The 12,396-nt window shown below is 47.5% G+C and overlaps 1 long non-coding RNA gene across 16 annotated transcripts in view, besides 1 other annotated feature; it reads left to right on the plus strand.

Annotated features, from left to right (window-relative positions):
* Positions 1 to 11,412, plus strand: part of LINC03125 (long intergenic non-protein coding RNA 3125) — a 42,205-nt gene extending 30,793 nt beyond the window's left edge. Inside the window, exons 1-7 of one of the 16 annotated variants that reach the window (NR_199685.1) lie at positions 1,240 to 1,352; positions 1,516 to 1,633; positions 6,975 to 7,055; positions 7,328 to 7,418; positions 7,505 to 7,655; positions 8,318 to 8,745; positions 10,888 to 11,412. This is a non-coding gene — a long non-coding RNA (long intergenic non-protein coding RNA 3125). Of the gene's footprint in view, positions 1 to 1,239; positions 1,353 to 1,515; positions 2,243 to 6,974; positions 7,056 to 7,327; positions 7,419 to 7,504; positions 7,656 to 8,317; positions 8,746 to 9,065 lie in introns of those variants that run through there. The other 15 variants (NR_199682.1, NR_199684.1, NR_199680.1 and 12 more) reach the window with 15 other exon arrangements.
* Positions 517 to 811: a silencer, noted in NCBI's record as "tiled region #4869; HepG2 Repressive non-DNase unmatched - State 23:Low". NCBI's record gives its function as "represses a minimal TATA promoter and a strong SV40 promoter by Sharpr-MPRA in HepG2 cells {active_cell/tissue: HepG2}" and the evidence as "EXISTENCE:reporter gene assay evidence [ECO:0000049][PMID:27701403]".
* Positions 11,413 to 12,396: the final 984 nt, after the last annotated feature.

Consider the following 12,396-nt stretch of genomic DNA (forward strand, 5'->3'; position numbering starts at 1 on the left):
GGCTGAATGTTGAAGAAGGCAGCACTGTTGGCAGGCAGAGGGGCTGTGGGCTGTCCGTCTTCCTCTTCCTCCGCTAAGGGAAACAATGGCAGGATCCAGTTGCTTATCTGCCTGCTTATCTAGCAAGCTGCTGGGTGTCTGGATCCTGCAGGGGCAGTGGGGGAGAGCCCTTAGCTCAGCACTGCCCTCCTGTGCTGGGGCAGGCATGGCAAAGCCCATGAAGTTGCTTCCCTCAGATAACCTTGTGTTTCCACCTGGAGAGGGGAAATAAAGACACATCACATCATTGGATTATGAGGAGTAAATTATAGAACGCACACACACAGTGATGGCATTCAAAAAATATCAGCTGTGGCCACCACTGTCTCAGCTCTTTGAACTTGGACTTGCAGGACTGGCCTCACTTGCAGGTACTGTGGCAAATTTCTCCCCATTTACAGTGACCTTCTGTTGACACTAAAATAGCTGTAGGTATGCATGGTGAGAAAATGTTAGACTTTATCCAAGAGTCAGGTTGCAAGACCAAGCTTCTCTACTTCCTGGCTATCTAGCTTTAAACAAGTCATATATTTGAGCCTCCATTTTCTCACAAACTCATTTCTCATGGATAGACAAACTTGAGAATCTGGTGAAATAACTCATATAAGAGGTCTTGACACCCCCAGCAAGCATTGGCTGATTCGAAGTCCACGGTGTAAAATGTAAGAAGGATTTGGTTATGCTGATAAGTAAATTTACCTGATCAGGACAGGTAGAGGAGCTCAAACTGACAAACAATACAGTGGCTGGGAAGAGAGGAAGATAACAGGAAGAACCTGTTATCTGAATGGTGGGCTGAGGAGGGCATTCCTAGAAAAAGGGAAGACACTGTCCTGAGTGTATTCTGCTCAGACCCATCTACTGTTTTATGAAACACCCTCCTATGGCTCCATTTCCTCAACACAATGGCCTGTCTTGTGTCACTGAACATGTTCTATGGCCTGCCTGTAATGTCTTCCTTCTCCCCTCCCATGCTCACCTCCACCCCAGTAAACTCCTATTCATCCCTCAAAACCCCAGCTCTGCCATCAAGTCTTCCAGGAAGGCTCTCCCAGCACCATCCTCACCTGCAGGTGGGTTTTGCACCACATCTATGCTTTGACCTGGGCTGCTGTTGGACAGTTGCCATGAGCCCAGACCTCTCTGAGAGCATGTGGAGCACCCTTTATGACACAAACAAGAGCTCAAGGATGGTGGCTGGGGTTCAGTCTGCCGCTGCAAATACCAAAAGCTGTCCTCATTGAGTCATCCCTCCCAGAGCAGGAAGAGCAGAGGTTCTGGGAAACAACCCCAAGGAGAGAGACAGGGCATTTGTGAGCTGTGCAGCCTCCCTGCTGGGACATAGGGAACTCTAGCTGGAGATGAGCAGGGCCTGAGTCTGAGGGTGGCCCTGCTGAAAGCACAGTAATAGGAGTTATAATCAGCTAAGAGCAGGAAATCTACTTTATTTTTCTAATGTTATTCTTTGCTTTCTAGATAAAACAGCATGTAAGCATCTCTGCAGTTGCTGTCCCCAGAGCCCACTTCCTGGATATTGCCAGCTGCCTGGACCAACCTTTCCGAAAGATCAGCCAGGTCACAGTGAGGGTCAAAGGTGAGCCACGGGCCTCAGCAGCTGCTGAGTGGATGGTGCGTGGGACTCAGGAAGTGACGTTCTCTCCCCGCCCAGCCCCCTTCCTCAGTCTATTGCTCCGAATCCTGGACCACACACTGCGTGCTGAGGCTCCATCGCTGTGCTGGGTGAGGGGTGGAGGACTGTCCAGCTGACAGCCACCCAGGAGGCCTGCCCAGGAGACCCAGCCCAGCCTCTCCTTGGAACCTGAAGAACTCCAGGCAGCTGATGGGACACTGGGGCCCAGGTCAGCCCCTCCCCTTCCCTGAGGTTGCCTGAGGACGCCTTCACTGTTCTAGAGAAGGAGGCCCTCCCCATGGCTGGGGACAGTCACAGCAGCTGCAGACAGATGATGGGAGGGAGCATTCTTTCCCTAACCCTAGAGGCGGGCGAGCATTCACCAAGTGTTGTTGTTAAAGAAAAAAAGAAAGAAAAAGAAACCAGGATTGTACCTGAGGTCAGGCAGACAGTGCTCAACTCAGCACTGGGAAGATTGCTAGAAGCCTTGGGCCTATCTAGGAAGACTGGGCCAACATGCGATCCCCTCTGCAAGGTGGAGGCCATGCACCTGCCTCCTGCTCCTGAGCTCCGGTATCCTCACTGTGACCCAGGCCCCACTGCAGCAAAGAGACACTGGGAATTAGCCCTTCTGTCCCCTCCTTGCCAGAAGGTGGGAAGATGTGTTGGTTGAGGGCCTAGAATTTTTTTCATCCCCAAAGACTTTCTTTTTTTAATATTATTATACTTTAAGTTCTAGGGTACATGTGCACAACGTACAGGTTTGATACATAGGTATGCATGTGCCATGTTGGTTTGCTGCACCCATCAACTCGTCATTTACATTTGGTATTTCTCCTAATGCTATCCTTCCCCCAGCCCCCAAACCCCTGACAGGCCCTGGTGTGTGATGTTCCCCACCCTGTGTCCAAGTGATCTCATTGTTAAATTCCCACCTGTAGGTGAGAACATGCGGTGTTTGGTTTTCTGTCCTTGTGATAGTTTGCTGAGAATGATGGTTTCCAGCTTCATCCATGTCCCTACAAAGGACATGAACTCATACTTTTTATGGCTGCATAGTATTCCATGGTGTATATGTACCACATTTTCTTAATCCAGTATCATTGATGAACATTTGGGTTGGTTCCAGCTCTTTGCTATTGTGAATAGTGCCACAATAAACATACATGTGAATGTGTCTTTATAGTAGCATGATTTATAATCCTTTGGGTATATACCCAGTAATGGGATGGCTGGGTCAAATGGTATTTCTAGTTCTAGATCCTTGAGGAATTGCCACAGTGTCCTCCACAATGGTTGAACTAATTTACACTCCCACTAACAGTGTAAAAGTGTTCCTATTTCTCCACATCCTCTCCAGTATCTGTAGTTTCCTGACTTTTTAATGACTGCCATTCTAACTGGCATGAGATAGTATCTCATTGTGGTTTTGATTTGTATTTCTCTGATGACCAGTGACGATGAGCATTTTTTCATGTGTCTGTTGGCTGCATAGATGTCTTCTTTTGAGAAGTGTCTGTTCATATCCTTTGCCTACTTTTTGATGGGGTTGTTTGTTTTTTTCTTGTAAAATTGATTGAGTTATTTGTAGATTCTGGATATTAGCCCTTTGTCAGATGGGTAGATTGCAAAAATTTTCTCCCATTCTGTAGGTTGCCTGTTCACTCTGATGGAAGTTTCTTTTGCCTTGCAGAAGCTATTTCGTTTAATTAGATCCCACTTGTCTATTTTGGCTTTTGTTGCCATTGCTTTTGGTGTTTTAGTCATGAAGTCCTTGCCCATGCCTGTGTCCTGAATGGTATTGCCTAGCTTTTCTTCTAGGGTTTTGATGGTTTTAGGCCTAACATTTAAGTCTTTAATCCATCTTGAATTAATTTTTGTATAAGGTGTAAGGAAAGGATCCAGTTTCAGCTTTCTGTATATGGCTAGCCAGTTTTCCCAGCACCATTTATTACATAGGGAATCCTTTCCCTATTTCTTGTTTTTGTCAGGTTTGTCAAAAATCAGATGGTTGGAGATATGTGGCGTTATTTCTAAGGGCTCCGTTCTGTTCCATTGGTCTATATATCTGTTTTGGTACCAGTACCATGCTGTTTTGGTTACTGTAGCCTTGTAGTATAGTTTGAAGTCAGGTAGCTTGATGCCTCCAGCTTTGTTATTTTTGCTTAGGATTGTCTTGGCAATGTGGGCTCTTTTTTGGTTCCATATGAACTTTAAAGTAGTTTTTTCCAATTCTGTGAAGAAAGTCATTGGTAGCTTGACAGGGATGGCATTGAATCTATAAATTACCTTGGGCAGTAAGGCCTTTTTCACAATATTGATTCTTCCTATCCACGAGCATGGAATGGTCTTCCATTTGTTTGTGTCCTCTTTTATTTTGTTGAACAGTGGTTTGTAGTTCTCCAACTTCACACCCCTTGTAAGTTGGATTCCTAGGTATTTTACTCTCCTTGTAGCAATTGTGAGTGGGAGTTCACTCATTATTTGGCTCTCTGTTTGTCTGTTATCAGTGTATAGGAATGCTTGTGATTTTTGCACATTGATTTTGTATCCTGAGACTTTGCTGAAGTTGTTCATTTTGTTATTTACCCAGTAGTCATTCAGGAGTAAGTTGTTCAGTTTCCATGTAGTTGTGTGTTTTTGAGTGAGTTTCTTAATCCTGAGTTCTAATTTGATTGCACTGTGGTCTGAGAGACAGTTTGTTGTGATTTCTGTTCTTTTACATTTATTGAGGCATGCTTTACTTTAAAATGTGGTCAATTTTACAATAAGTGTGATGTGGCACTGGGAAGAATGTATATTTTGTTGATTTGGGGTGGAGAGTTCTGTAGATGTCTATTAGGTCTGCTTGGTGCAGAGCTGAGTTCAAGTCCTGGATATCCTTGTTAACCTTCTGTCTCGTTGATCTGTCTAATGTTGACAGTGGGGTGTTAAAGTCTCCCATTATTATTGTGTGGGAGTCTAAGTCTCTTTGTAGGTCTCTAAGGACTTGCTTTATGAATCTGGGTGCTCCTGTATTCACTGGATATATATTTAGGATAGTTAGCTCTTCTTGTTGAATATATCCCTTTACCATTATGTAATGGCCTTGTCTCTTTTGATCTTTGTTGGTTTAAAGTCTGTTTTATCAGAGAGTAGCATTGCAACCTCTGCTTTTTTTTGCTTTCTATTTGCTTGGTAGCTCTTCCTCCATCCCTTTATTTTGAGCCTATGTGTGTCTTTGCACGTGAGATGGGTTTCCTGAATACAGCACACTGATGGGTCTTGACTCTATACAATTTGCCAGTCTGTGTCTTTTAATTGGGGCATACTACCTATTTACATTTCAGGTTAATATTGTTATGTGTGAATTTGATCCTGTCATTATGAAGTTGGCTGGTTATTTTGCCCGTTAATTGATGCAGTTTCTTTCTAGCATCGATGGTCTTTACAATATGGCATGTTTTTGCAGTGGCTGGTACCAGTTGTTTCTTTCCATGTTTAGTGCTTCCTTCAGGAGCTCTTGTAAAGCAGGCCTGGTGGTAACAAAATCTCTCAACATTTGCTTGTCTGTAAAGGATTTGATTTCTCCTTCACTTATGTAGCTTAGTTTGGCTGGATATGAAATTCTGGGTTGAAAATTCTTTTCTTTAACAATGTTGAATATTGGCCCTCACTCTCTTCTGGCTTGTCGGATTTCTGCTGAGAGATTCACTGTTAGTCTGTTGGGCTTCCCTTTGTGGGTAACCCGACCTTTCTCTCTGGCTGCCCTTAATATATTTTCCTTCATTTCAACCTTGGTGAATCTGACAATTTTGTGTGTTGAGGTTGCTCATCTCCAGGACTATCTTTGTGGTGCTCTCTGTATTTCCTGAATTTGAATGTTGGCCTGCCCTGCTAGATTGGGGAAGTTCTCCTGGACAATACCCTGAAGGTTGTTTTCCAACTTGGTTCCATTCTCCACATCACTTTCAGGTACACCCATCAAACGTAGATTTGGTCTTTTCACATAGTCCCATATTTTTTGGAGGCTTTGTTTGTTTCTTTTTACTCTTTTTTCTCTAACCTTATCTTCTCACTTTATTTCATTAGTTTGATATTCAATCACTAATACCCTTTCTTCCACTTGATCGAATCAGTTATTGAAGCTTTTGCATGTGTCATGAAGTTCTCGTGCTGTGGTTTTCAGCTCCATCGGGTCATTTAAGGTCTTCTCTACATTGTTTTTTCTAGTTAGCCATTCTTCTAACCTTTTTTCAACGTTTTTAGCTTCATTGCAATGGGTTCAAACATGCTCCTTTAGCTCAAAGAAGTTTGTTATTACCAACCTTCTGAAGCATATTTCTGTCAACTCGTCAAATTCCTTCTCCATCTGGCTTTGTTCTGTTGCTGACGAGGAGCTGTGATCCTTTGGAGGAGAAGAGGCACTCTGATTTTTAGAATTTTCAGCTTTTCTGCTCTAGTGTCTCCCCATCTTTGTGGTTTTATCTACCTTTGGTCTTTGATGTTGGTGACCTACAGATTGGGTTTTGGTGTAGATGTCCTTTTTGTTGATGTTGATGTTATTCTTTTTTGTTCATTAGTTTTCCTTCTAACAGTCAGGTCCCTCAGCTGCAGGTCTGTTGGAGTTTGCTGGAGGTCCACTCCAGACCCTACTTGCCTGGGTATCACCAGCGGAGGCTGCAGAACAGCAAATATTGCAGGTGGTAAATATTGCTGCCTGATCCTTCCTCTGGAAGCTTTGCCCCAGAGGGGCACCCACCTATATGGGGTGTCTGTCAGCCCCTACTGGAAGGTGTCTCCCAGTTAGGCTACATGGGGGTTAGGGACCCTCTTGAGGAGGCAGTCTGTTCATTCTCAGAGCTCAAATGCCATGCTGGGAGAACCACTGCTCTCTTCAGAGCTGTCAGACTGGGACGTTTAAGTCTGCAGAAGTTTCTGCTGCCTTTTGTTCAGCTATGCCCTGCCCACAGAGCTGGAGCCTAGAGGCAGTAGGCCTTCCTGACCTCTGGTGGGCTCTACCCAGTTCAAGCTTCCTGGCCACTTTGTTTACCTGCTCAAGTCTCAGCAATTGTGGATGCCCCTCCCCCAGCCAAGCTGCCACCTCACAGTTCAATCTCAGACTGCTGTGCTAGCAGTGAGCAAGGCTCTGTGGGCATGGGACTTGCCAAGTCAGGCACGGGAGAGAATCTCCTTGTCTGTTGGTTGCTAAGACCTTGGGAAAAGTGCAGTATTTGGGTGGGAGTGTACTGTTTTTCCAGGTACCATCTGTCACAGCTTCCCTTGGCTAGGAAAGGGAAATCACCCAACCCCTTGTGTTTCCCAGGTGAGGCAACACCCGGCCTGCTTCAGCTTGCCCCCCGTGGGCTGCACCCACTGTCCAACCAGTCCCAATGAGATGAACCAGGTACCTCAGTTGGAAATGTGGAAATTACCCATCTTCTCTGTCAATCATGCTGGGAGCGGCAGACTGGAGCTGTTCCTACTCAGCCTTCTTGGAACAGAGCCCCCCTCACAAAGGACTTTCTCTGGCTAACTCTGATGCTTTTCTGAGTTCTTACCTAAATTTCCCCTTCTCCTTCTGTGGCCCTGCCAGTTTTGTTTTGTTTTGTTTTGTTTTGTCCTTATCACTACCCTTGCTGCCTCCTCAAATTATCCAGAGCCACTGTTGTTTTCTAGAACATTGGCAAGCACGTTGATAGAGTGCCCACATTGTACTGAACTCTGAGGGGAATAGTCTCGTCCCCATCACTCAGGTGGGGAAACTGAGGTGAGGTTAGTTTAAAGTGGGTAAGCAGTGGGTTTGGAATTGGAGCTCTGGCTGGCTGGCTCATGTCCGTGCTCTTCCCACCACAGCAGGAGGCCACTGGAGGCTCCAAGGGCTCTGAAATGTTGAGAACTTCCCTGCAGGTACCAGCGAAGAGGGCAAGAACACAGCACTACTTCCTTGGATACTGTTTCCCTCCTCAGAGGGGTTTTCTGAGCTGCCCTGGGTCCTGTGAGGAAGGTAGGAATTACATTTCACTAGGGAACAGCCAGGGTCACCTCCTTGCCTGAGGCCCCACCATCCCATCAGCCTGGATGGGCCTGCTCAGCAGCCACACTCGCCCCTAGGCCGAGAAGGGGTGGGGCTCGGTTCCACAGAGTCTCCCAGGGCCTCAGGCAGGTACTCTAGGCTGATTCCATCTCCAGGTTCGCAAGTAAAAAAAAAGTCAACTGCCCAAAAGACTTCTCTTAGAACTCACAGCAGGTTAGGCTGGCAGGTGGAGTCTATGCTCGGGTGGTCCCATCTGCCAGGCCTGATGTTCCAGGTGAAGAGATTGGTGAGCACCAGGTGACCCCACCCAGGTGCACGTGGCTCTGTCGGGTACAGGCAAGTCTCTGCCCACCAAAGGGACACCACAAGGGCCCAGGCAAAGCAGAGCCTTTCTCACTGGGTGTCTGCTGGTGCTGATGTCACCAAGGAACACACCCCGGGCAGCTTAAACCACAGACGTTTATTCTTGCATAGGGCTGGAGGTCACAAGTCTGAGATCAAGGTGCTGGACAGCCTGGCTCTTCCTGAGGGTGGCTGGCAGGTCCAGTGCAGGCCTCCCACCTTGGCTGGTGGACAGCCATCTGCTCCCTGGCTCTCCATATCACCTTCCCCTTGTGCCTGTCTCTCTCCAGATCTCCCCTTCCTGTAAAGACACCAGTCCTACTGGATCAGGGCCCACCCGTGTGACTTCACTTTTACTTGAGTACCTCTCACAGACCCTAACTCCAAATCAGGTCACTTGCTGAGGTACTGCATGTGAAGACTTTGACATTTGAATTTTGAGGGGGCCACCGTTTAACCTGAACCACCAAGGACAGAGCCAAAGACCCTGGGTGACAGGCCCAGAACAGGACCTGGTGGAGGCTCTTCTTTAGGGGAGAGAGGGAAATGGGAGCCACCACTGGCAGAGCCTGAAGGCAGGGCAGCCAGAAAGAAGCTGTGGGAGTCCCCACCATGGAAGACCCTGCCGAGCATCCTGTGTCTCCTGAAGCAGACCCTGACATGAGGACTGGGGGCACGTGTTTATTAAGGGCGATCCCCGGAAGGAGGAGATAACCAGGTAGGGAAGGAGGGAACCCCAGGGCAGGGCTCTAGAGAGAGAGGATGACCCTCAGGAGCAGGAGGGTGCACCTGAAACCAGACCCAGCAAGAGATGGAAGCCCTGGGAGCAGCCCCACTCCAGGTCCTCTGCAGGAGTGACCCAGCTGCCACCAGGCTGCCCTGCCCAGCTCAGCAGGCCCTACGGGTGCAGGGAAGCAGATGGGCAGTGAGATCTGGGACCGGTATAGAACCACAGCTGCCACAACTGCCCATGGCTCCCTCCCTTCTTTGACGTCAGAGTGAGCAGGGCGGTTTCTGCTGCCTTCGCATTCCAGCCCCACACACCTCCCTGCAGCCTGGCACTGGAAACTGCTGAGCCATGCAGGGCAGCCTGGTGGCGGCTAGGACACTTCTGCAGAGGACCTGGAGTTGGGCTGCTCCCGGGGCTCCCATCTCTTGCTGGGTCTGTTTTCAGGTGCACCCTCCTCCTCCAGGAGGCAGGGGCAAGACCAGCTTCAGCCCTTCTTGCTCTCCATGGTCTGTATATGGACAGGGTGTGGGCCCGGGGAGACAGTTGTGTGGTGTGTGCATTGTGTGTGTGGGGGGGGTTGTCTGTGTGTCTGTGAATATTTGTGTGATATGTGTGTAGTATGCTCATGTGTCATGACTCTGTGAGGGTGTGATGGAAGAGTGTGTGTAAGAGAGAAGTTTGAGTGTGTGTGGTGTGTGCATCTGGTGTCTGTGGGTGATGTTTGTGTACATAGTGTCTGTGTGTGTGATGTCGGTGTGTTGTGTGGGTTTGTGTGTGTATATAGTGTCTGTGTGTGTGATGTCAGCGTGTTGTGTAAGGATTTATGTGTGTGTGTGGTGTCTGTGTTTGTGATGTTGGTGTGTTGTGTGTGGGTCTATGTTTGTGTGTGATGTTGGTGTGTGTGATATCAGTGTGTTGTGTGTGGGTTTATGTGTGTGTGTGTGATGTCTGTGTCTGATGGTGTGTTTTGTGTGGGATTGTGTGTGTGTGTGTGGTGTCTGTGTGTGTGATGTCAGTGTGTTGTGTGTGGGTTTATGTGTGTGATGTCGGTGTGTGTGATGTCAGTGTGTTGTGTGTGGGTTGATATGTGTATGTGTGATGTTGGTGTGTTGTGTGTGCATTTATGTGTGTGTGGTGTCTGTGTGTGTGATGTCAGTGTGTTGTGTGTGGGTGTATATTTGTGCATCATGTCAGTGTGTGTGATGTCAGTGTGTTGTGTGTGGGTTTATGTGTGTGTCTGATTTTGGTGTGTTGTGTATGGGTTTATGTGTGTGTGGTGACTGTGTGTGATGTTGGTGTGTTGTGTGGGTTTATGTGTGTGGTGTCTGTGTGTATGATGTCAGTGTGTTGTGTAGGTTTATGTGTATGTGATGTTGGTGTGTGTAATGTCAGTGTGTTGTGTGTGGGTTTATATGTGTTTGTGTGATATTGGTGTGTTGTGTGTGGGTTTATGAGTGTGCATGGTGTCTGTGTGATGTTGGTGTGTTGTGTGGGTTTGTGTGTGTGGATGTGGTTTCTGCCTATGGGAGGAGGTTTGCTCACAGATGGAGGAGAAGGAGCTCTATAGGCAAAGATCCCAGGGCCGTGGAGGAGGAGACACAGTCCTGAGAACTCCTTCCTCTGAATCAGAAGGACAGGAAAGGTGGGATTTTAAAGGAACAGAGAACCCTGGTGGGAGAGGTGAATCTGAGCTCCTCGGGCCATCGGGTGTCCTGTGGAGCAGAGGCAGGCCCGTGAGGGTGATTTTCAGAATGCTGCCTGCTTCTGAGAGTGAGATGAAGACCCTCTGGGGTCCCGTTGATGTCACCAATGTCGCCTGTCTTGAGGCATCTCTGGTCCAGACCTGGCTGGGAGAGAGAGCTATGGGTGGAGATGCACTGGGTGGGTGCTGGTGGGAGGGGAGGGCTGGCTTTTCCTCAGCCCCCAGACTTAGAGAAGATCACACGCAAGAGCTTGGAAGTCCTGGGAGGAAGTATGATCCCGAATCCTGGCACACTTGATCATGCGTGACAGGGACTTAAGAAAGCCCCTAATTATAGCCGTGTGGGGTTTGTCTCCCTTCTGAAGCTTGGCGCCCGTGTGCTCAAGGCAAGGGCGTGACCAAGGTAAGAGACCCCTTCTCTCCCTTAGGCAGAAGTCCTAGCAGAGTATGCCCACGCTGGTTAGTGCTGCTGCAAAGATGAGCCGAAGACCATGAGAGACCTCCAGGTGGTCCTTCTGGGGAGAAGAAATGGGTTTTGGCCCCAAATCCTTCTGCTGCATTTTTCCCCTATCCCTGGGAAGCCATGAGACCTCAAACCTGTGTTCCCAAGGAGGCGAGCTGCTGTTCCCAGGTGATGATATGATGTGCTTGGGGAAAGTAAGTGGCTGCCAGACATGGCTGAGAGCTGTTGTCACTGCCGTCAAGTGCATGTCTCCAAGCCATATCACACGGCGTCCCTCGATGTGAGGCCACATGGCAAGTGGGCCGTGGATCTCCCTCTGCCCTTTGCAAGCACGTAAGACAGCAGATTTTGCAGATACCTTGTGGCGCAGGGGAATTTCCTTTGGCCAGGTCTGAAGAAATAAAGCAGCAGGCACCGAGAACAAAGCCAAGGCTTTCAAAAGACAAGGAGCCAAAAAACTTACTCAAAATAAAAGTAGTTTTAAAATGTCTCTGCCATTGGTAGTCTCATTTTCTTTTTAATGTAGGAAATAGTCAAGTATTAAAATGACCAAAATGAAACAAGTGCCTCATGGACTGAGAAGGAAGGAGGAAGATAAAAAATGAAACCAGGACAGAGAAGAGAGGGAGGTTCTGGGTGTATTTGCTTTGGGATTACATGTGCGCATGTCTTGTTTTTCCCTTTTATATCTCCCTCATCTGAAATATGTAGCAAAGAAAAATTTAAGCTGTAAGAGGGAAACTTTTTCCAAACAGTGAAGTTTACCAAACTGTGGCCTGAGATCTATATTCACATTCTAAAAAACCATGCCCAATTCCCCACGCTAACAGCAGCTCCAGACCAAAGAGCAGCTCTTGTCTTGACCAAAGTGAATAACTATCTTAACACGAGGTGACTAGAAACCATCTGTCTTGAGACCAGAGAGGAGACCTGTGGTCAGTGACGCTGTTCAGCAAATACTTGCCATTCCTGACCTCCAGGCTCAAGGAGGGATTGGCCACCCTGGTCCCCTAGGAAGATGGGGCCATGTGCTGGCTCTGGACAATGGTCATGATGGAAATGGCATCTGCTCTTGCAGGCCAAAGAGTTTAATTGCCTCCAGAGCTCTCCTTCCCTCTGCAACAGTGACCTACAATGTCCAGGTAGCAGTCCTTCCATCACCTTGAATCTCAGAGTAAGAATGACATGGAGTAGAGCCCCCCAGGTAAGCTGTATTGAACATGTAACATGTAGATGAAATCAACTGTTGTTTAAATTCACTAAGTGTGAATTACATAGCACAACTATACTTATCTTAATTGACACAAGATGAGTTTGTTTCTTAGCTGACCAATAGCAAAAATCCAATAAACAGATGAATAAATTAATAAATAGATGGATGAATGGATGGATGGATGGATGGATCAGTGGATGGGTGGGTGGATAGATGGAGCTGTTAGATATGGCTCTTTGTTTATAAATCTCAACCACAAAC

This window comes from Homo sapiens, chromosome 20 (genome assembly GCF_000001405.40).
Source record: "Homo sapiens chromosome 20, GRCh38.p14 Primary Assembly".
NCBI classification, from domain to species: Eukaryota; Metazoa; Chordata; class Mammalia; order Primates; family Hominidae; genus Homo; species Homo sapiens.